Source organism: Homo sapiens, chromosome 14 (assembly GCF_000001405.40).
Source record: "Homo sapiens chromosome 14, GRCh38.p14 Primary Assembly".
Classification (NCBI taxonomy): domain Eukaryota; kingdom Metazoa; phylum Chordata; class Mammalia; order Primates; family Hominidae; genus Homo; species Homo sapiens.
The window spans coordinates 103,693,128-103,715,463 of record NC_000014.9 but is presented as its reverse complement, the minus strand read 5'-3'; the positions used below and the strand labels follow the sequence as shown (position 1 = coordinate 103,715,463).

At 58.3% G+C, this 22,336-nt stretch overlaps 2 protein-coding genes across 34 annotated transcripts in view, besides 5 other annotated features; one reads left to right on the top strand and one right to left on the bottom strand.

Annotated features, from left to right (window-relative positions):
- On the top strand, positions 13–17,847 carry XRCC3 (X-ray repair cross complementing 3). 10 transcript variants are annotated; one of them, NM_005432.4, is made up of 10 exons: positions 13–40; positions 2,533–2,589; positions 3,897–3,998; positions 4,219–4,431; positions 6,805–6,942; positions 8,249–8,461; positions 12,137–12,291; positions 15,888–16,100; positions 16,285–16,331; positions 16,447–17,847. In NM_005432.4, exons 4-10 carry the CDS (start codon positions 4,377–4,379, stop codon positions 16,664–16,666), a joined length of 1,041 nt encoding a protein of 346 aa, NP_005423.1. In that variant the 5' UTR covers positions 13–40; positions 2,533–2,589; positions 3,897–3,998; positions 4,219–4,376; the 3' UTR covers positions 16,667–17,847. The 10 variants fall into 10 exon arrangements, with proteins under 10 accessions (NP_005423.1, NP_001358160.1, NP_001358158.1 ...); NM_001371231.1 differs by having other exon boundaries at positions 3,803–3,998; NM_001371229.1 differs by having other exon boundaries at positions 2,523–2,589.
- Positions 71–330: a silencer, noted in NCBI's record as "silent region_6170". NCBI's record gives its function as "represses an Ori minimal core promoter by ATAC-STARR-seq in GM12878 lymphoblastoid cells {active_cell/tissue: GM12878}" and the evidence as "EXISTENCE:reporter gene assay evidence [ECO:0000049][PMID:35858748]".
- Positions 527–1,212: an enhancer, noted in NCBI's record as "H3K27ac-H3K4me1 hESC enhancer chr14:104180589-104181274 (GRCh37/hg19 assembly coordinates)". NCBI's record gives its function as "activates a minimal SCP1, AML or CMV promoter by ChIP-STARR-seq in naive H9 embryonic stem cells {active_cell/tissue: H9 hESC(naive)}" and the evidence as "EXISTENCE:reporter gene assay evidence [ECO:0000049][PMID:30033119]".
- Positions 8,429–8,990: an enhancer, noted in NCBI's record as "H3K27ac-H3K4me1 hESC enhancer chr14:104172811-104173372 (GRCh37/hg19 assembly coordinates)". NCBI's record gives its function as "activates a minimal SCP1, AML or CMV promoter by ChIP-STARR-seq in primed H9 embryonic stem cells {active_cell/tissue: H9 hESC(primed)}" and the evidence as "EXISTENCE:reporter gene assay evidence [ECO:0000049][PMID:30033119]".
- Positions 8,991–9,550: an enhancer, noted in NCBI's record as "H3K27ac-H3K4me1 hESC enhancer chr14:104172251-104172810 (GRCh37/hg19 assembly coordinates)". NCBI's record gives its function as "activates a minimal SCP1, AML or CMV promoter by ChIP-STARR-seq in primed H9 embryonic stem cells {active_cell/tissue: H9 hESC(primed)}" and the evidence as "EXISTENCE:reporter gene assay evidence [ECO:0000049][PMID:30033119]".
- Positions 13,572–13,621: an enhancer, noted in NCBI's record as "active region_9110". NCBI's record gives its function as "activates an Ori minimal core promoter by ATAC-STARR-seq in GM12878 lymphoblastoid cells {active_cell/tissue: GM12878}" and the evidence as "EXISTENCE:reporter gene assay evidence [ECO:0000049][PMID:35858748]".
- Positions 13,920–22,336, bottom strand: part of KLC1 (kinesin light chain 1) — a 72,334-nt gene continuing 63,917 nt past the window's right edge. For 15 of the 24 annotated variants that reach the window (NM_001394832.1, NM_001394836.1, NM_001394846.1 and 12 more), the window contains 2 exons: positions 14,737–14,809; positions 13,920–14,263 (listed from right to left, as the gene is read on the bottom strand). In NM_001394832.1, the coding sequence (NP_001381761.1) occupies positions 14,738–14,809 (72 nt within the window). In that variant the 3' untranslated portion in view covers positions 13,920–14,263; position 14,737. Of the gene's footprint in view, positions 14,264–14,736; positions 14,810–18,308; positions 21,912–22,336 lie in introns of those variants that run through there. The other 9 variants (NM_001394833.1, NM_001394835.1, NM_001394838.1 and 6 more) reach the window with 1 other exon arrangement.

Sequence of the window (22,336 nt, the reverse complement as noted above, 5' to 3'; positions counted from 1 at the left end):
GAGCAGGACGGCGGGAAGAGGAGTGCGGAACCCGCGGGAGGTGAGGCCCGCCGAGCCGGGCTGCGAGCCGGGCTGCGAGCCGGGCGGCAGCGGGGTCGGAGGTCGTGGGCGGCAGCGGGCGTGAGGGGTGAGGCAGGGTCAAGGGGCGGGGGCGGCCGCGGGTCTCCATTGCCCGAGCCTGTGGGAGCAGGCGGGCCTGGGGCTGCAGCACTCACCCCGGGAGCCCCGCCGCAGCTCGGGTAGCGTTCAGGCACCTCGCCGGGGCCGGGCCGCGTGCGTTCGGAGCGGGGAAGGCGGTCTCCGGGGCCCCCGGTGCGCGCGGGGAGGCGTCCGCTCAGGGGAGGCCGAGGTGGGCCCGCGGCTGCGCCCCCGGCCTTCGATGCCTTCGCTCGTCCGCCTGGGACCGCGCTGGCTTCGCATCGAAGTGGGAGAGGTCTGAACAGTTATTTTAATACTTTGATTTGGAAAGAAAATCCTTTAGGCCGGGCGCGGTGGCTCACGCCTGTAATCCGAGCACTTTGGGAGGCCGAGGCGGGCGGATCACGAGGTCAGGAGTTCAAGACCAGCCTGGCCAACATGGTGAAACCCCGTCTCTACTAAAAATACAAAAATTAGCTGGGTGTGGTGGCACGTGCCTGTAATCCCAGCTGCTTGGGAGGCTGAGGCAGGAGAATTGTTTGAACCAGGACCCGGGAGGCGGAGGTTGCAGTGAGCCGAGATCACATTACTGCACTCCAGCCTGGGCTACAGAAAAAGACTCCATCTCAGAAAGCACACAAAAAAAAGAAGAAAATGTTTGTTCATCCTGCCTTTAATTCCTTATTACAAGGCGTGAATTTTTATTGTTTTTTTTGAGACAGTCTGGCTCTGTCATCCGGGGTGGAGTGCAGTGGCGTCTTCACAGCTAGGCACAACCTCGACCTCCCAGGCTCTCAAGTAGCTGGGACCGCAAGCGCCACTACACTGGCCAGCTATTTTTCTTTTTTTTTTTTTTTTTCGGTAGAGAGTAGGTCTTGCTGTGTTGCCCAGGCTGGTCTTGAACTCCTGGGCTCAGGCGACCTTGGCCGCCTTGGCCTCCCACGGTGCTGGGATGACAGGCATCAGCAGTGTTGAAGCCTGTGAGGTGGGGTCCCTGTGGCTGACTCTGCCCTCTCCTGGGGCCATTGGCAGTGCAGGGGTCCTTGTGTGTGGAGGAAATAAGGAGATGATCAAAGTATGATTCCACGAATCACACGGTTTATTGTCAAAGAAGATTTGTTCTCGGGTTCACAGTGCTCAGAGGGGAGGAGAGGGGAGGAGGTGAAGACACCTGGCAGGGAAGCAGGGCCTCCATGGATGGGGTGCATTCACGGCAGGGAGGTGAGTGGCAGAACGGCCAGGGTCCGGTTGCTCTGCTGGGATGGAGCGGGCCCCTGGAGAGTGAGATCTGGTGAGAGTTCGAGGTTTGCCTTGGTAGCAGTGGAGAGCGTGAGAGCGGGAGCTCTCTGAGAAGCTGGGACCGAGGTCCAGCTCCCAGGCCAGCAGCGTATAGCTTGCCTCAAAGCATCTGCACAACCTTCAAGCTGATGTCTGTTTTTGCAGTCCAGCAGTCAGGGTCAGTAACTCACATAAGGGAGTGTCTGACAAGGTTTAAGTGGCATTCCCAAGGTTGCGGAGTTCACTCAAGTCCTCACATATGTGGTCTGATAAGACATCACACTCTTGCAGGGGGGTCAGGTCACCCCAAAACATCAGACTATGTAAGTGCTGTGAATCACTTCAAAGCTACACAGCAGGTCCCAGGGCCCAAGGCAGAGGAGTGAGTCCACCTCGGAAGGCTCAGAGCAGCTCCAGGCAGTAACCACGGCATTTCCAGAGTCTGGTGTGTGAGCCTAACAGCTCTGGTGTGACCGTCCGTACTCACCTAGCAGCACGTGACATCAGCTCTCCCCCTGAAGTCATTGCTCAGCTCGGGTGCTGCAGGAAGACATACAGGTCTGTCTTGGGCCAGCCCCTTGCCTGCTGTGGGCTGCTCCCTGTGTGTGGCCTTCACCCCGGTGTAGAGAGATGGGCTGGTCACACCCCTGCCCCTCACAGCGGCGAGAGGACAGAGGCATGTGCCGGGCTGTCTGTGGAGCTCCCAGGCCAGTGTCTGGGATGCGGCAGGTGCTTGGTGTTAAAGGGAAAATATTCCAGGATATCTGTGAAAGCACGTTAGGCAGAGACCAGGCTTTCATTCAGAACCTTTGAGAGATGTGGGAACCACCACACTGCGGTCTTGCAGTGGGAGAGAGGCTGGGCTCAGCTCTGAACAGGCCATGGGCTGGTGGCGGCTTACAGCTCCAGAGCTGGGCAGGGGCAGAGGATGGAAGGTTGCTAAGAGGAACCCCCAGGGGCGAAGGGGATGCAGGTTCAACTGACCTGCCAGATCAGGCCGCCCGGGGGACAGTGGAAGATGAGGCGCCTAATCAGCTGTCAAGGGTGATGGGACACGGGAGGAGGTCGTCACTAAACAGACTTTGAGCCAGGCCTGTTAAACCAAGTTCTCAGCAGGATGTGCACAGAGGGCCCAGGAGGAGCCTCAGGAGCCGGACTGCCGTTGGCCAACCGGTGAGTCTGTTATCCGTCAGTGGACACTCTGCTTCCAGGTGCCTTGGCCTCGGCCCGCGTCCTGAAGGCGGGAGACGTTGCAGCCACGTGCTGGCCTTCCCGGTGCTCCTGCCAGCGTCCCGCTGCTTGACACAGTCCAAGTTTTGTATCCAGACCCAGCCTGGGACAGCAGCCTCCCGACAGCCCCCAGGCCCAGCCTGTCTGTGACAGTCACGCCTGCTCAGGGAACCATCCCTCCGTGCAGATCTGGGCTGTGTTTTGGGTGGTACCTCGGGTGTGGGGTCCCCTACCAGGTGCGAGGTTCATACTCCCCAGGCTGCCTCCTGTCCTCAGGGCTTGGAGAGTCCCATGTTCTGAAAATGACCTCTTTTCGAGCCGGGCAAGGCCGCATCTCCTTTGGCAGTGTAGTGTCTTCCCTGGAGGTGGCATTCCTTTTTGATTTGCCTTCTGTGCTTGGGAACCTCACTTCCTCACTCTGGCCAGCTCTGCCAGCAGTTTGGAGCTGGTTCAGCGCCCCACCGCCCTGCCTTGGCCTGCGCCCGGCCCTCCAGGGTGGCTTCTCGCCAGTTCCTGTCAGGCCTGCCTGGGCAACCAGGCCTGGGCACCTCCCTGTCCCTTGCTCAGAAAACCCACAGGCTGTGGGGGCCCGGGAGCCAAGCCTGGTGCGCGGGCAGGAAACGCATCCTGGAGCACCAGCTTCCCTGCCCTGCCCGCCTCACGGGGTGCCTGGGGGCGTGCCTCAGCCTGCTGCTCCTGTAGTCTGTTCCTGTCTCCCTGAGCAGGCTGAACATGGGCATACGAGTGACCAGCGTGATCGTGTCCAGGCCAGTGCCGCATTCTGTGTGGTCCAAGGGAAAACCTTCTCCAAGTCCACGGCCCGCCCTTTCCTCTGCTGGGTTACGGCCAAGGGCGCCAGGCCTCACTGGAGGACATGGATCCTGGACCCGGCCCTCGAGGCTGCTGCCTTCCAGTTTCCCCATGTCCTGGACACTCTTGGTCTCACCATTTGGGAGGCCGACAGGGGATGCAGAGTGGCCTGTTGGAAAGGCCTTATGTGACCCCAGGCTGAGTCCCTGAGCAGCCTGCTGAGGCCGGAGGGGAGAAGAGCTGAGCTTCTCCCTTGCTGGGCCAGGCTCGGGCTGTGGAATGGCTGCCAGCTCCCTTCCTGGGAGAGGCTGGGTGGGGTCCACAGCACCTTCCTCCCGTCCCACAGGAAGCTGTCTTCTGCTGTTGGCTGCTGGGGGCGACTGATGTTTGGATCCCTGAGCACCCTGCCAATCCCAGACTCACCTTCCCACTCTTTCCAGAGTCCCCAGGGAGACACTTAAGGGAAATTAAACTGCAGAGTGCAAGAGATGCCTCAGTCAAGTCAGCCAAAAACACGCGGGTCATCCCCAAGCCCCAGAGAGGTGAGTCGGGCAGGGCACTCAACTGCTGCAGGAGGATGGTCTTATTTCTAGCACTTTCCACAGGAGGTAAATGTGGTGGGTTTGGGGGGTTTTTCAAATGCATCAGTGTCTGGAATGGGTTCTAAGCTGCTAAATAATTCTTAGAGGTAAATGACAGACATGTTGCCCTAGATGTAGCTAGACAGCCTTCCCTCTACAGTGAAGTCTCCTCCACCCTCAGTGACAGAGCCCCGATGACACGGACACCTCGGCTGCTGTCACTTCCCTGGTTCGGGCCTCCCACAGGCTTTGAATTGAAGGCGAGTGCCTCAGAATTTGCATCCATTGTTCTGTCTTTCCTGGGAAGTTATTCATCCTGGTGGCCAGCCCACCGACAAAATGGATTTGGATCTACTGGACCTGAATCCCAGAATTATTGCTGCAATTAAGAAAGGTACATTTATTTCTATTTACATAAAGGGTGTGGGTGGGTGTGTGCAGTTTATATAAGGCAGGTTAACAAAACGCTGGCTGGCTAAGCCTTCCTTCCTTTGCCTACCCTGATTATTAAACCGAGGGCGGGATGTACTATGGGATTTTCAGGTGTGTGTGTGTGTGTGTGTGTGTGTGTGTTCTTAACTACATGGATTTCTTTCAGTTACTTTTATTTTTATCAAAGTAATACATGCATATTGTCTAAAAGGTAAAATGGAGCCACATAAAGTCTTTTAGTTTTTTTTTTTTGGAGACGGGGTCTCGCTCTGTCACCCAGGCTTGAGTGCAGTGGTGCGATCTCAGCTCAGTGCAAGCTCCGCCTCCCGGGGTTCACACCATTCTCCTGCCTCAGCCTCCCGAGTAGCTGGGACTACAGGCGCCAGTCACCACGCCCGGCTAATTTTTTTGTAAATTTAGTAGAGACAGGGTTTCACTGTTTTAGCCAGGATGGTCTTGATCTCCTGACCTCGTGATCCGCCCGCCTCAGCCTCCCAAAGTGCTGGGATTACAGGCATGAGCCACCGCACCCGGCCGTCTTTTAGTTATTTTTTTAAAAAATATTTACATCTGGGCTCCTAAACGTGTTTATGTTGTAATGTTTGATTTGTCAGTGTTACTGATTATCCATGGACTTCTCTTGGGGGCTGTGAGGACTGAGCGTGCCTACACCTGTGTACCCCAACTTCCTCTCCCCCCAGCTCCCTGCCCATACTTAGAACCTAGTTTGGGTGACATCAGCTGTCAGGGTTGTGACTGGGTGCATACTGGCCATTGTTGAACCTGGTGTGGTGGTGCAGGGGATGGTTTTCTTTCTTACAGCATCTTTTTTCGCCCGAGTTAGTAAATGCTCAAAACTCAGGCCCCACGTGCAGCCCCTGCCCCCTGCTCCCCATGCCAGCCGCCTGGCTGTCATCCGGGGACCCTCCTGCCAGCTTCCATCCTCCCCCGTCTCCCCGGGCCTCAGCTACGTGAACCTCAGCACGCTGTCTGTGGCGAGAAGCCGGAGTGCTCATGGAGCTGCCGCAGCAGCCTGGTGACAGGGCAGGGCCTCGCTGTCCTGACCCTCCATCCTTGGCTGTTGGTTTTTATCCTCCTGTTGGTGGCCTTGTGATCACAGCTGCTGCCACAGCTGCAGACACGACGCTTGCAGACCAGGGACAGAGAAGGGCTCAGCCAGGGAGTTCCTTTCTCACCTGTGTCTCTTATCCAAAAACCAATGTTTCCAGAAGTCCCTGCAGACTTCACGGCTGTGAAGGGGGCTGGGGCTGTGAGGCTTACCAGGGGGAGCGCCCTGCCACAGCCCCGATCCCGGTGAGTCCTCAGGGCCCACAGAGCCTTCTGGAGCAGCCTGTCTGCGGGAAGCCCCCTCCGCTGGATCTGGTGAAACCCAGGGGCGCTTTCTTCATTCCCACCCTTCCATCTCCTTGTGTTTTCTGTGTGGCTTTTCTGAAGATCACACCAGTGCTTACTGTTTTCCAGCCGCACAATGGTTGTCTTTTCACTGCAGCGTTCAGCGCACCCGTGTTGAGGGGGTTTCTGATGTGGTGGGTGTAAGTCCCCGTGGCCGGGTGGGGCGCTTCGTCCACCACTGCTCCCTCTCGTGTGCGCTTCCTCGCACTTCCCTGATCGGCTGATCAGTCTGCAGCATTTGTCGTCTTTCTACAAGTTTGAAATTAGAAAGTGATGCACTTATCTGAGTCCAAAATTAACTTCCTTGCCCTCCTCCCCAGATGGCAGGTCCTGGGGATCTGCACCCCTGTAACTGCTGCCACCGCCGTTCTGATTCGCACATGCTCTGCCCCCTGCCCTGACTGCCCTGCGCAGCTGGCGTTTGGACCTGGGCTCTGCTACCCTCCCAGCGCTCCCCTCCCCAGGGCACATGTCCTCTCCCGCGGCTCAGCCCAGATCCATGCCTGGTGGGCGGGTGGTGGAAAGCTCGGTGCTGGTTTTTTCCTGCCCCCTTCTGGAGCACTGTCTCCAGCTGGCATGGAACTGGGTGCCTGTCGTTTCTTCTCAGTACCGGAACCTGCTCTCAGCACCGGGACCTGCCCAGCCCTGTCTTCTGGCTTCTGCCCCAGCTCACGAGGCTGGTATCTGTCCGAGTGCCAGGACTCAGGGCGCAGTGTCCAGCAGCCCTTTCCTCGTGCCTGTGCATCGGCCACACTGTGTCCAGGGTTTCCAGGGAGCAGGGGATCCGGTCCCTACCCACCTTGTCCCCAGAATCGGAAGCACGGTGCTCTCACAGTGCTCTTAACAAAGCACCTTTTGTCACTGTGTTGCCCTGCGTTGTGACAGTCTGACATTTTCCTGTAATTTATCTGTGTTATTTCAGCCAAACTGAAATCGGTAAAGGAGGTTTTACACTTTTCTGGACCAGACTTGAAGAGACTGACCAACCTCTCCAGCCCCGAGGTCTGGCACTTGCTGAGAACGGCCTCCTTACACTTGCGGGGAAGCAGCATCCTTACAGGTAGGTGGGCCCTGGCATCTCTGCCAGGGGTGACATGTGGCTCCAGCATCATGGTCCCAGTGGTGCAGGGCAGGGGCTGTGCAGACTTCACCCAGGGACCAGCCTCAGGGCGTGTGGCAGCTGCTCCAGCCCCAGAGTTCCCATCTTGCTTGTCCTACACCCATGGGGCTGTGGTCACAGCATCGGGTCAGAAGATGCGTGAGGTGGACACGGGCTGTGGGACCTCCTGGGGACCTTGCTCCATGGACCAGAGGAGGGGGTGCAGGAAGCAGGGGTGGATTTGGCAGTCAGCACCCAGAGCCCTTCAGGCTCTGGCAGGGTGGGAACGGTGTGAGATGGGGCCCTGGCCACGGTCCCACCACCACGTGTGGGAAACCAGGTCTCAGCAGGGGAAGGAGGTACCCAGGGAACCCCATGCGCCTGGACGGACAAGGTTTCCATCCCTGCATCTCAGCAGGCCCTAGTAGGCAGCGGGGTCCTGGCATGAGCAGGGCCCTCTCTCCCCTGCAGGTGGCTCAGTGGCCCAGGCCCCGAGGAACGTGCTGAACTTGGGGCTGCCGTGGTGGGCAGGTGCCACGGCCACACACACGGTGCTGTGGGCAGGGCTCTGGGCAGGCCTCACAGTCAGGGTGGCCTGCTCCACCTGGACGGGGTGCCCAAGGCAGTGTGCAGACTCCAAGGGAGGGGCTGCTCCTCCCGGCCCAGGCCCCAGGCCAAGAGCGCAGCCTGCACCGCATGTCCCACCTTGAGCCTTGCCCTGAGGGGCTTCGGTGTCGTGGAGGAGGCTGTGTCAAATGGCTCATCCAAGGCCCTTTAGCCAAGAGGCTGAGACCAGCATTGCTCCAGAATGGTATCTGTCACAGAGAACTGACGGCATGTGGTGTGCATGTGTGCGCGCCTGCGGGAGCCCATTAAAGCCGCTTGAGAACTGTTCAGCACCCCAGGGCATCCCAGCTGGACAGAGCTGTGCCTTTTTCTTCACATGGAGGCTGTTAGGGAGCGCCTCGGGGCTCTCTGGAAGCTTTGGCTGAAGGCGTCTGGTGCTGCAATTGCCCCATAGGGGGATCCCTGCGGGCATGTGATGGTGGCCCTGGGGCTCCCCCTGACTCTGCATCTCAGGTGCACCCGCCCTTCCCGGCTGGGCCCCCCTCCCTGCCCTCAGCACCTTGCTCACCCCCATGACCGCAGGCACCTGTGCTCCAGCCACACTGCACCTGGCACAGGCAGGCTGACCATGCCTCCCGCAGTCCCCAGCCCTGCCCGCAGGCCCAGGAGAGTCAGGCCTGACACTATCCCTGCCCTTTAGCACTGCAGCTGCACCAGCAGAAGGAGCGGTTCCCCACGCAGCACCAGCGCCTGAGCCTGGGCTGCCCGGTGCTGGACGCGCTGCTCCGCGGTGGCCTGCCCCTGGACGGCATCACTGAGCTGGCCGGACGCAGCTCGGCAGGGAAGACCCAGCTGGCGCTGCAGCTCTGCCTGGCTGTGCAGTTCCCGCGGCAGCACGGAGGCCTGGAGGCTGGTGAGTGGCCACCCCTTCCGTGGGGTCTGGGCAGGTGGGCGGCCCCTGCTTTGTGTGGGACAGCTTTCCGTTGAGGTGGGGCAGTGGCCGCCTCTTGCGCTGTTCCTACCATTGCGTCTCCCTCCTTCTCACCCTGATTGCCCTCGCTCCTTCCAGAACAGGGAGGGGGAAGTGAGGCTGGGCTCAGCTGACAGCAGGAGGGGTGGGAGGGTACGAACCCCACCACCAGGCAGCCGGCCCTCAGCAGAGCTAGGCCCCCAGGGGTCGCTGGCTGAGCACAGCGATGCCGGCCCACGTTCCGCACAGCTGCCAAGCCCAGAGTCCACAGAGCCAGCAACGCAGGGAGGGCAGCACAGCCTTTCCCCGGGTGCCCCGCCGCCAGGCCAGGTATGCTCCTGGCGCGGCCCCGTGAGCCTGTACGCTCTGTCTGTGAAACGAGGGTTCCCTGCATTGGACTAAAGCGTTCAGAGCATGCCTGCCTGGGTCTCTCAGGTGTTAAAAGTTCACGTAGTTTTAAACTGTGAGCTGTGAGGAGGAGAGATGTTTCTCAGTAGCTCCTTAACTTTTAAACTAATTCCCTGGTGTCAACATGCGATTCCCACGTTGTCTTAAACTCCACGTGAACAGAGTGGCAGTATTTTTTCATCGGTGGCACCTCCGAGCACATCTGCTAGGCTCACTTCCCACACAGGGCCGGACCCCAGGCCCTGGACCCACAGGCCCAGCCAGCCACCTCCTCACGGGCCTGACCTGCCAGCAGCGGTGTGGCTGGGAACCTCACCTCTGCCACCCTCAGGTCAGCGTCATCCCCAGGACCCAGGGTGTGCTGTGCCTGCCTGAGCTTCAGTGCTGGGTGGAGGGTGAGGGGTCTCCTGAGCCTCCGTGTCGGGTGGAGGGTGAGGGGTCTCCTGAGAGCCCAGCTGGGGTCTGCTCACGCCACAGGCATTTTTGTCCCTGCAGCCCAGGGGAGGGCACCCTCTTGTCAGGTGCCTGAGTCCCTGCGGCTGGTCTTGGGGATGAGCCTGGAGACAGCCAGAAGCCGGGAGGACAGGAGTTGGCCTTGAAAATGGGAGTCTCCCGCTTACCGCACGGAAGAGCTGCTGTGAGGTGGAGGCGGGACTCGAGCGTGCTCAGGAACGGGACGGGAGCCGCCCTCATTCTCCAGCGTCCTCCGTGCCAGGCTTCGTGCAAATCTGATTTGTGCAATGACTCCCCCTCAGCTTCCACCCCGTTGGCCTTTTCAGTGAAGCCCACACTCCCCGATACCCAGGGACACAGAAGCCTTAGGACACCCTCCCTGAATCCCCCAGCTGTGCCCAGCCCAGTGACTGCTGCGGGATGACAGCACAGTCCAGCCTTGCGGGCCAGGGGAAGGGAGGGGGCCCCACGGCCACCGTGACCACATGCAAGGTTAGGGGTCAGATGTGCTTTCCTGGGGAAATGACTTCCTTTCCTGGATCCAATCTAAAGGCCCGAATTTTGAAAAGAAAGCGGCAGGCGGGCTCTGAAGTGATTCCGACTCCCGTGCTTAAGCCGCGTGAGGCTCTCCCAGGCCTGCTGGGGCCCCGCCCACCGCTGGGCTGTCCACAGCCACCCTCCTGCCAGCTTCACGATGTCCCCATGACTGTGCAGCCCCTACATAACGTCACCCCAACAAAAACACGCTGCTTGACCGGTTCCACCTGCTTCCGAGCCTTCCAGCCCAGCCTCTCTCCAGCCAACAGGACGGAGGAAGCCCAGGGCCCCGACCTTCCTGTGGCTCCTGACTAGGGGCACAGTCACTGCTGGGGACACTGGTGGGGAAGGGAACCAGCCACAAAAGGGATGTGGCCTCCCAAGGCAGTATTTATACGTTCCTGGCCTCAAGCGGGCCAGATGCTTCTCAGAAGCTTAGTTCTGACACAGAATGGGGCGGGGGGTTCCTGACCCATTTTTGCAACTCTTCTTTACGTTTGAAATTCTGTCAAAGCAAAATCAGCTCAGAATTAAAGGTTACGCGGACACTCACAAACAGGCTGCATGACACGGCGTGGGGGCACTGGCTCTCCCACAACTGCATGTGCCACTGCAGGAACAGGACGACGCCCCGTGGGCCACGGGGTCCTGGCTGGGCAGCCTTCCTGGCATAGTCAGTGCTTAGAGAGCTCGCCGGCCTTGTCTTTTTGTTTTTGTTTTGCAGGAAACTGGAGTTTTATTATTACTCAAATCAGTCCCCCTAAGCCTTCCTGTTTTTTAAATTGAGATGTAATTTACATGCCATAAAATTCCCTCTAAAAGTGTACAGTTCGGCCTGATAGGCGCAGTACCTCATGCCTGTAATCCCAGCACTTTGGGAGGCCGAGGCTGAGGCAGGCGGATCATGAAGTCAGGAGTTCGAGAGCAGCCTGACCAACATGGTGAAACCCAGTCTCTACTAAAAATACAAAAATTAGCTGGGCGTGGTAGCGCACGCCTTGTAATCCCAGCTACTCAGAAGGCTGAGGCAGGAGAATCACTTGAACCCGGGAGGCAGAGGTTGCAGTGAGCCGAGATCGCACCACTGCACTCCAGCCTGGGCGACAGAGTGAGTCTCTTGTCTCTCAAAAATTAAAATAAAATAAATAAATTCAGTGGCTTTTAATAGAAGCACAAAGTTCTGTGCCCGTCACCACTATCCAATTCCAGAACAGTTCCCTCACCCCAAAAGGAAACCCTACCCATGAGCAGTCAGCCCCCACCCCCAGCAGCCTGCCTCCCCTTTCCCTACCTGTGACTCTTCCTGTCCTGGGAGCTCCATGCAAGTGCAGCCGGACAGCACGTGGTCTCGTGACAGGCTTCCTGCATTGGCATTGTGTTTTCGAGGTTCATCCGTGCTGGAGCAGGTGTCAGAACTGCCTTCCCTTTTAAGATTCGATCATCCCACTGTAAGGATGGGCCGCACTTCATTCGTCCACTCCTCAGTTGATGGCCTTTGGGCCGTCTCCCCCCGGGCTGTCATGAAACGTGCTACGGTGGACGTTCTTTCTCTTGGGTATCTACCTAGGAGTGGGGCTGCTGAGTCATGTGATTTGTTTAACTTTTTAAGGAAGTACCGATTGTTTTCCGAGCTGCACCATTTTACATTCCTAGCGGCAGTGCACAGGGGTCAGGGGTCTGCCTCCTACACATCCTCACCAACACGTGTCTTTTCAAGCTGGCTTTTTGAATTTCACCATGGAGCCCAGATTGCAGGAGCTTTGAAGAGAGGAAACGCTTGCTCAGTGGGGGCCTTGAGGGTGGCCATGTGTCGGGGCTCAGGGGCCATTTCCAGAAGGCGTTGCCCTGATGCTGCCACTTGCTCCCTGCCCTGCAGTGGGGAACGGAGGTTCACAGGGGGAAGGAGGGGCAGGGTGGAGCAGGAGAGGCCTCCCATCTGTGGCCATTCCAGCCCAGGGCCCAGGACAGGGGAAGTCCTTGCCTGGGTGTCAGAAGTGGAGACCCAGCCCATATTCCTCCTGAGGGGTCACCTGGCCCCGGAGGTGGCTGCCAGTGGGAGGGTGAGAAAAAGCACCAGCCTCCTCCCTCCCCAGGCGAGGGGCAAAGAACCTGTGAGGGGCAGAGAGTTAGAAATGGCGGGAGACATCTGCACTTGATTTGTGTGGCAGTCACAGGCCCGTCTGGAGTCCCCTGGGCACATCAGGCACTCTTGCTTCCCAGGAGCCGTCTACATCTGCACGGAAGACGCCTTCCCGCACAAGCGCCTGCAGCAGCTCATGGCCCAGCAGCCGCGGCTGCGCACTGACGTTCCAGGAGAGCTGCTTCAGAAGCTCCGATTTGGCAGCCAGATCTTCATCGAGCACGTGGCCGATGTGGTGAGTGTGGGAGAAGCCCCATGACACCCCCAAGGCAAGCTATTCAGGACCATTGGGGCAGGTGTAGCCACCACGGCAATGGGGTCTCACAGCAGGGCAGGGAGAGTTGGGGCTCAGCTCTGAACACAGCATGGGTCATGGGGGTTTACGCCCGAGGAGCAGGTGGGGTCAGAGGATGGAGAGTGACTGAGAGGAACTGGCAGGGGAGGGAATTCTGGCTAAAGCATCCTGCCAGGACCCTTGCTGAAGGTGTGCCTTGGGGATCAGACGGCCTCTGGGGACTGTGGAGGATGGACCAGTCAGCTACTGAGGGCGACTGGATACGGAGAGCAGGGGTCCTGCTACAATCTCAGCAGGGATTGCCAAAACTGGATTTCATGAGGACGTGCACAGATGGGCCTAGGAGGAGGCTCAGGAGCCTGACGGCAGTTTGGCCAAACAGAATCCTGGCCAGGAGTGGCTGTGGGCCAGGCAGGCAGGGCGGCAGGCTGCGACACCCAGTTACATCTGAATCTCAGGCAGCTTTGAAGCGTGTTCTAGAATGAGGATGCCCATATTCAGATCAACTTTCTTCATGATCTGAAACTCAGATGTAACTGGGCGCCTGTACACCATCTGTCAACCTTGCCCATGAAGACGGAGTGGGGAAGAGAAGCCCCAGGCGGGTGGCAAGGACCTCCTCTGGGCTGTGGGCCCCTGACCAGCTGCCCCAGGAGACCACCGCCCTGAGAAGGATGCGACCTGCTCTCCAGGCTGCTGCCCTGGTGAGATAGCTGTGTTGGTTTCCCCTTGCCCCTGAGGGGAAGACGGCCCTCACTAGGGGCACAGGGGCTCCACCTGGCCAAGGCCTGCTGGGCACCCAGCTCAGACAGGTGACCTCAGATCCTTGACCACTGCCTGGCTGCTGGCTTCCCTGCAGACACTGGCTGGGCTTGGAGGAGGGACCTATGGCAGGGCCTTGCAGAGAGCAGGGGCCACTCACCGGGGGCCAGTGGAGTCCGTCCTGTAGCCAAGAAGCAGGCAAGAGAGGCTGGGACCCATCCCTGCAGCTGGGGCAGCAGTGCTGTGAGCTGTCAGTGCTTAGTTTATAGACATCATCCTGGGAGGGAGAAGTGATGAAGTAGAAAAGACGCAGAAGAAAAGATGGGACGTTTGGGAGTAAACCCCTGACCAAAGGCAAGTAAGGAAATTCCACCCTGTGCAGGGGGAGCGGCTGCCATGTCCAGCCCACCCTAGACATGGCTGTGGCCTGGCAGAGCAGCTCCTGGGTGGGCCTTCCCCCACTTCTCTTTTTTTTTTTTAAGACAGTCTCGCTCTGTCGCCCAGGCTGGAGTACAGTGGTGCAATCTCAGCTCACTGCAAGCTCCACCTCCCGGGTTCACGCCATTCTCTTGCCTTAGCCTCCAGAGTAGGTGGGACTACAGGCGCCCACCAACACGCCCAGCTAATTCTTTGTATCTTTAATAGAGACGGGGTTTCACCATGTTAGCCAGGATGGTCTCGATCTCCTGACCTGGTGATCCGCCCACCTCGGCCTCCCAAAGTGCTGGGATTACAGGCGTGAGCCACCGCGCCCGCCAGCCTTCCCCCACTTCTAAGAGGTCTTATAAAAACTTTCAAGTAAAGCATAAGGCATATAAACTTTTAATTTAAAAAAATGTACAATAAAATACGTTATCGCACACAACGTGAGGAAGTTACACATGGGAAGGGAGCCGTGGGCCCAGCTCATGCCCCAGGTCTCCTGGGAGAGACCACGCCGCACCAGGGCACCAGCTTAGGCCCAGCCCCAGCCCCAAGGTCACGCCAGCCGTGTGGTTATTAGTATCATGTCCTATGCACACAGACGCAGGAGAAATGAGTGAGCGCTGCGGCTCCCGGCCAGGGGCCCTCCCTGCCGCCCTGGCTGTCCCGGGCCAGCTCCGGGCCACACTCGGCAGTCCCATCCTGGAGCGGGGCCAGGTCGGGGTCACTGCAAGAGAAGATAGAAGGTCAGGGCTGGGCCGCCAAAACCTGACAGTGTTACTAAGTTCTGTTCTGGAAACAGCTCTCTGGGGAACCCCCACCCCAAGTCTGCCTAGAGAAGAGGGTGTTGCTGGTTGTGAGCCTCCCTGGGGCCGAGGGGTCATGGGGGACTGGTGCGTCTTTGGTCTCTGCTCCCTGGAGCACCAAAGGCCTGCGTCTGGCACGGGGGAAGCCAGGGGTGTGGACACAGAGCCTTCTCTTGCATAAGCAGAGCCTGGTGCCATTCCCACCCCCCCACTCTGTGGCCCTTGGGCTTGCATGAGGATGGGGACCCTGAGCCAAGCCCCTCTTGGAGGCCCAGCCTGGCAGCTAGCAGCAGTCACCACTTGCCCATCCCCAGCTCCCCCCAGTCCCTGCATGTGCAAAGTCCCTCCCTGGCCCAGCTGCCTGCTTCCTGGGGCTGCAGGCCGTGGGACTCACGTTAGCGGTGGCGTCTTCCAGGCCACTGCTGCTGCTGTCGTTTTCCACAAAAAGAGGCTCGGCCAGAGACGCCCTGGAGATGAAGCACAGACGAGTTTCACTCAGGGCGTGCAGGCGGCCCTCAGGCGTCTTCAGAGCTCCGGGCGTGACACCAGCGTGTGGCTGCAGACCTTGGACTTGAGGGACAGCCTAGGGGCCCCTTAGCAGCCTCCATCTGGCCAGAGCTGCTGGCAAGGCCCGTGGGGCCTGAACTACACTGCTTGGTGCCAGGAGCAGCTGTGTCACCCTCCCCCATCACCATGGCTCACCAAGCTGTGCGGTCAGAGGCCAGGCCAGCCATGCCAATGGCTCTGGCACCCACAGGCCACGGCAGCACCCAGAGGGAGGCCGAGGACACCTGCCTTCACTGGGGGGGTCCTCCCCTGGAAGCTCTCCTGGGAGCTGGTGGGCACAGGGCTGTTTCCACCCCTTGGCCAGGCCAGGCCAGCTCAGAGCACAGGGCTAAGGCCTGGATGCACGGGAGGCACTGGCCTTGAGGGTGTCTCAACCTACAGCCCCATCCTGACCCCCAGGTGGTCTCCCAGAGTGCCCCACGCCTTGGCAGAGGCAGGCCAGGCCTGACTCGCCTGAGTAACGCCTGAAGGGCATCAGGCCCCTGCCTTGCTGAGCGTCTGAAGAGGTCATGGCCACCACGGGCTGGCTTTGGTGGCACTGTGGCCAGGTTTGGGTGGTCTGAGTACCTGGTGCGGGGCCACTGAAGGAGGGGGCTGGTTGCTGCTGACCTGTGAGGGGGAGAGGGTGAAACCATGGCAGAAGGAGAGCAGACCCCCGCAAGGACTCAGGAGCCTGCGCAAAGGACACCTCTACAGAGGACGGTGTTGGCACAGCCAAGGGGTGACTGCCTGGGGGGGCCAGAGGAAGGACATGGGGCCAAGGGAACCAGTTGTGTGAGCCTGAAGCTTCTATAGTTGGGGCCTCTTTGAGAAAAATACAGAATTGGGCTCAGAGTATGGGGACTACAGAGTATGGGCACTGTGAGCCCCAGGTGGGTAGGAAGGTTTTCAGACGGTCGAGTGACAGTCCAAACGGGGTCTGGTCACCTGGGGCGGGGACTTGCTGACCAGCATAGACAATGACAGCTGTCCCCACAGGACACCTTGTTGGAGTGTGTGAATAAGAAGGTCCCCGTACTGCTGTCTCGGGGCATGGCTCGCCTGGTGGTCATCGACTCGGTGGCAGCCCCATTCCGCTGTGAATTTGACAGCCAGGCCTCCGCCCCCAGGGCCAGGCATCTGCAGTCCCTGGGGGCCACGCTGCGTGAGCTGAGCAGTGCCTTCCAGAGCCCTGTGCTGTGCATCAACCAGGTGAGCACCAAGGCAGGGTTGCACCCCTGAGCTCGTATTTTTAGCCAGGATGCGGAAGCAGAGCCGGTCTGGAGGTGGGGCGGGTGGCAGTGAGGTGGCCTCCGGCTCCTGCGGGTAGCAGCCTGTGCCTAACCATCGAGAAGACCCTCAGCCGTTGCAGCTGACCTGGACTGTGCTCTTCCAGGTGACAGAGGCCATGGAGGAGCAGGGCGCAGCACACGGGCCGCTGGGGTGAGTGCAGCCATGTGGTGTGTGCACCTCTGTGCAGGTGCCAGGGGCACAGCTGGGCCGAAGTGGGCGGGGCCACCAAGCCTGAGCGCCAGCTTGCCTGCTTCCTGTTTCTCAGGTTCTGGGACGAACGTGTTTCCCCAGCCCTTGGCATAACCTGGGCTAACCAGCTCCTGGTGAGACTGCTGGCTGACCGGCTCCGCGAGGAAGAGGCTGCCCTCGGCTGCCCAGCCCGGACCCTGCGGGTGCTCTCTGCCCCCCACCTGCCCCCCTCCTCCTGTTCCTACACGATCAGTGCCGAAGGGGTGCGAGGGACACCTGGGACCCAGTCCCACTGACACGGTGGCGGCTGCACAACAGCCCTGCCTGAGAAGCCCCGACACACGGGGCTCGGGCCTTTAAAACGCGTCTGCCTGGGCCGTGGCACAGCTGGGAGCCTGGTTCAGACACAGCTCTTCCAGGGCAGCGGCTCCACTTTCTCATCCGAAGATGGTGGCCACAGACTGACCCCCATCTGAGCTGGGGGGATGTTCTGCCTCTCCCTGGGTCTGGGGACAGGCCCGCTTGCTGGGTACCTGGTCCCCACTGCTGAGCTGGCCCTTGGGGAGAGGTGATTCTCAGGGCTGGAGCCTGGGGTGTCCTACAGTGACTCCCTGGGAGCCGCCTGCTTCTTCTCTCCACATGGAAGCCCAACTGGGGTTGCGTCTGAGGCCTGCCCCCTGGGCTGGGGCCTCAGACCCCCTCAGCCTTGGGACCGTGCCCACGAGGGTCTCCCCTCCTGCACACAGGGCAGTCCTTACTCCCCCACCACTCAGGCCACAGTGGGGCTGCAGGCAGGCGGCTCCTCCTCACCCACCTCTGGGTCCTTGGCTCCCGGGGGCCCCACCTCGGCACACACTGTGCCCCACAAAACTTCAGTGTGGTACAAGGTGGAGAAAGCATATCCCACCAACCTCCAGTGTCAGGGTCCAGGAGAGCCTGGGGGTGGGGGGACTGCCTTGTCTCTAGTAGTGTGGCCTGTGCCAGCACCACAGCCGGTCAGAGGAGCGCAGGCAGCGCAGGGCTGGCACGTGACAGGCTCGTCAGCCACCTGGGAACACAGTTCTGGGCAAAGAGGATCCGAGGTTGAGAGGAAGGAGGGTCCCGGTGTATCCTGGCCCTGGGGGTCTGGGCGTCCAGCTCAGCCCTGGCCTGGCTGGGTGGTATTCTGGTAGGGATATGGCAGGACTCCTGGCAGGGCCACCTGCAGGACCCTGTCCTGCAGTCCCACACTGTGCAGACCCAGTCCCACACTGTGGCCAGGCCTTACATCTGGCTGGAAAGCAGAGCCTCCTGGGAACACATCTGGCTGCACAGGCTGAAATATCCACCCAGCAGGCAGAGTGGCGTGGCCTCCCCATGGGCACAGTGGTGACCCCCTTGATTCCCACCGTACAACCCCCTCCACCCCCCACTCAGTGCCTCCACATGCTGCCTGGCACAGACCAGGCCTTTGACAAATAAATGTTCAATGGATGCAGTTCCAGGACCTGCTTCTTGCTGTCTGCCAGGCACTGCTCTGAGTAATTTATACACATTGAAGTATGTTCTCCTCACAACTCCTAGGGATAGGTACTGTTACATCTCCACTTGCAGGTAGGGAAATTCAGGCCCAGAACCGTTAAGTAGCTTGACTCCTCCCACAACCCAGAGGCAGAAATTGTCACCCCCCACCTTATGTGCCCAGGGTGAGCCTGTGGGTGCTCCTACAGTGGGAGGAAGGGGGGCTGGCACTGGTTGGGGGAAAGGTAAGGGCTGGGGCCATACTGTGCAGAATTTTTCTGTTTGCCGTTTTCCAGGGTGGGACAATCCGTTTAAACCTTCATCATGTTATCAAGGCTCTCTATGACCCTAAAGTTAAGAATCACTGGCATGAACATGGGAAAAAGTTATTTTGGGGTTGGATTTTTACAAAACAGCCTTTCTGCAAAAGTGCAGGAATTCTACAATGGCAAGTAAGACATTTTATTTCTGTAATTGAACATAAGCAATTCCAAATGCTTTTCTAGGCAAGACATGCCAGCGATTAGAAAATGAGACAGCTTAAAGACAGAGGTACATTTAACAGAGAAAACACGCCTGGAAGCTCGGCCGGCCCCGCCCATGCTGGCTCAGTTCCTGCCCCTGGAGGGAAGGGGCCGAGGGGCTTCCCGTCCCAGGGAACTCCCACCACAGGAGTCTGCAGACGGGCTGGCCTGGCAGTCAGTCCCAGAACACTGACCATCCCCTTAGGGAGGCACCACGCCCTGGGGAGCACAGTTCCAGGCCAGGGCCATGGGTCTTGCCCTGAAGACCCTCCCTCAGGGACCACGCGCCCTGACCCTCATTGCCTCACCATATTATAAAACACTAAAACCGCTTAAGTTCTTCCCCACAGAGTTGGGGAACTAATTGTAAACAGAATACACGTCTACATATCAGCCCTGAGACAGCTGGCCCCGCTGCACACGCAGCCTGCTGGCCCCAGCAAGACACGGTCAGAGCTGGTAAGTGCTCTACAGCATTCAGAAATCTGACCACAGCGTACACACAGCTCACAAGTCAGTGCAAACAGAAGCTAATGACATCCTCCAAGAAAATTCCATACAGTTATGACAATGGAAAACCTGTTATACATTGTAACGATACATCATTAGCAATGTTTAATACATCTTACTATAAACACTGAATTTCTAAGTACATGATACTCCTAGCAGCTTAATCCAGAAAACAACGATGTGAATCCCTCCAATACTGTAAACACAAGACCAAGTGCTGCCCATGAGAGTGCCCCGTGCCACCCGCGGGCACCACCGGCCTCTGAGGACCCCTGAGCCACACACTGCTGCTGCTTCAGGGAAGCATCCATGTCACAGGACTTCCCCAGGGGCCTGATTTCTGCCACAGCTGCACCAACTACCCAGAGATATGCTGTCCGCCCACAGATCCAGACGCTCCCATGCCATGGTTGCTGGGGACGGGCGCTGCACACACGGCTGCTGTGGGGGGGGGCGGGGGGCGGGGGCGCAGTGATTATTTTGACAGCAACTCTGAAGAAACAGGTGCTGACTCTCGCGTGGGGTTCCTCTCACCAGAACGACCACACACAGGAGGAGGGATGCCTGGGCCCACCACTTCTCTCCTCTGAAGGGAAAAATTCAGACCGCCAGATGGGAAATGGCTGAAATCACCGCACTTCTATTGGGTGGAAGGGTTCAAACATCGGGGACTCAGGTACTCAGATTCCCTTGCCGCCTCCCTCTGAAACACGAACCTTCCTTTATGAGCTGGCTTCAGGGAGGCCCCCTGGCTTCTCTTACCCCAACACACAGTGCTCCCACAGCCACAGTGCTGCAGAGGCCACCTCGGCCCTAAAGTCCCATGGCTGGAAGCCACAGCAGGCTCCACAGAGGCCCCACACAACCTCGTCTGCACCCATCAGTCTGAAGAGGTTAAAATTCAACTCCATATTCAGCCCTATGTTTATTCCTTCTAAATGCCCTTTTTCCTTTCCAGATAACTGTCACTAAGGGAAACTGTCTGGGTTCCAAACTCTGCTCAGCATCCTCACAGGGAGAAGGCACCCCCACCACAAGGGAAGCTCCGGAGCCCTCCTCCCTGTCGCCTGTGCACAGACATAGCCCACTACGGGGGCAGCCACGGCACCTGTCAGGGGAAGCTGCTCTACACCCCCCTTTTTTTGGGGGGGGTTGGCTTCTCACAACCCATCAAATTATATATGTATATATATGTATGTATATATATATATATATATATACACACACACACATATATATATATATACACATGGTTTTTTTTGCTAGACACAGGGACTCGCTGTGTTGCCCAAGCTGTTCTTGAACTGGGCTCAAGTGATCCTCCCGCCTCAGCCTCCCAAAGTGCTAAGATTATAGGATTACTGGCATGAACCACCGCACCCAGCCATATATATATATATAATTTAACATTTTTTCTTTTAATCCCATCCACTATTACAGAACCTATGAAATTTTCTTCAACACCTCTATGTAGCATTTAGAATGTAAGCTCCTGATCCACCAGAATCTGCAAGAATGGAGTCAGGAGCCTCAGAAAAGGAGCCACGGCCACAGGCGAGCAGCTCGGGGACAACGCTGGCTCCACAGGGCAGCTCCTGGGCCAGGCACCCGCTGGCGACTACACGGAGCTTGTCTTGTGGAAACAAACGCGCTTTCACAAACACAGCAGTCCTGCGACATGAGGCGGGATGAAACTTTGAAAGGTATTTTAAAGTCTAGCCTTGTAACAAAACCTCAGGACACTCTGTCCCCAGCCTTCGTGCCCCACGGGGAGCTTCTAGAGGCTGAAGGTGACAAGTGTGAGCCTCTGCTGTGCCACCACCCACCCTGTTACATGACAGTGGCAAGCTGAGCTTTCACGGGATGGCTGGTGTTTCACAGACCGCCCCTCCATCCCGTAGCCTAGTTGGCTGGCATGGAGGTGGCGCTGCTGAGCGTCAGCCTTTGGAATCACTGATCACCTCGGCGTCTGTTTTGTATGCTCTTTACCTATGGACTAGTTTGTGGACGGCTAAGAAATACAGCCTCAGCATTGATTTGAAAAGGTTCCTGTCAGAGTCCACCGTGCTCCCTCATTCCATAAAGCTTAAGCTTTTAAAAAGTGAAACGCCATGTTAGCCAGGATGGTCTCGATCTCCTGACCTTGTGATCCGCCTGGCGGGTGCCTGTAGTCCCAGCTACTCGGGAGGCTGAGGCAGGAGAATGGCGTGAACCCAGGAGGTGGAGCTTGCAGTGGGCCGAGATTGGGCCACTGCGCTCCAGCCTGGGCAACAGAGTTAGACTCCGTCTCAAAAAAAAAAAAAAAAAAAGTGAAACACACGTCTCTATGGGCTTCGTGTGCAGGGGCGTCCGGGAGAACACAGCTCAAAAGGGGGCATGGGGCCCCAGGGCCACAGGCATGGGGACCTTGGAAAGAGAGACCCGGAAGATGCTCCAGCTGGGAAGGAATTCACTTCCCACTGACCAGTGTCCGCTAAGCTTCAGGCTTTACTGCCATAGATCACTAAATGCCTATCGTTCTGAAAGGGGTACTTTATGTTTCCAGATTCTTAATTTACAGCCTTATTACAATATTACAATTTAAAAGAGAGTCTGGTGTCATGGCAAAAAGGTGGCAGGCAGGAAATGCAACAGCATCCGTGAGCAGGAGCCAATCCCCAGCGTGCTGAAGCCACCTCAGCGCCACCTCGGCCTCCCTGAGCCAGCCTGGCCGGGTCGCGGTCGGGGTGGCTCCTGGCACTGGGGCTGCAGGCCGAGTAACAGAATGCTGAGGCACGGCCTCCCGGGTGTTTTGAAAAGGCACCTCCAAGGTTGGTGGACGTCACTATCTAGGAAAGGAAGCCAAGGAGTGCGGCTGGCGCCTCCGGGCAGGGCGGTGAGGGGCGTGGCAGGGCGGGGCGGTCTCACACTCCCAAGACAGGTTACCTAGCCCTGCTGGCTCTCAGTGGGCCAGGTCAGTGTGGCTGGCACTCAGAGCTCGCGAGTCGGCCAGACAATTATTTCGTTCCTGCATGAAAAAACAAATAGAAAAATTACACTTAACCAGGACTTCAAATGATGCCAGCTTCAAATGGCCTCAGGCCTAACAGTACCAGCTGCACAGCTAAATCTAGGTTGGCACTCGAGAGGCCCAGGGGTCAATGTGCATGTAGAAACTCCAAGAAACTGGAGGGCAAACACTGGGTCAGCTACAGGACCCTGTAAAATGAAGAGACTTTCTTTCCTCTTGTCATTAGGGGTGCTTCAAGCAACATGTCCAGCACCCTACAAGCCTCTTTAACAGCCACCGAGAAGGGGGCTGGGGAAAAGCTTTCCCGAGATGGCTGCCTCCCAAGAGTGTTGGGGGACAGGTCGGGGCACTGGCCTGTCTGTGAGGATTAGTGGATCTGGACAACTGGGAGGGCAGTGCCTGGCCACTGTCGCGAACTCTCA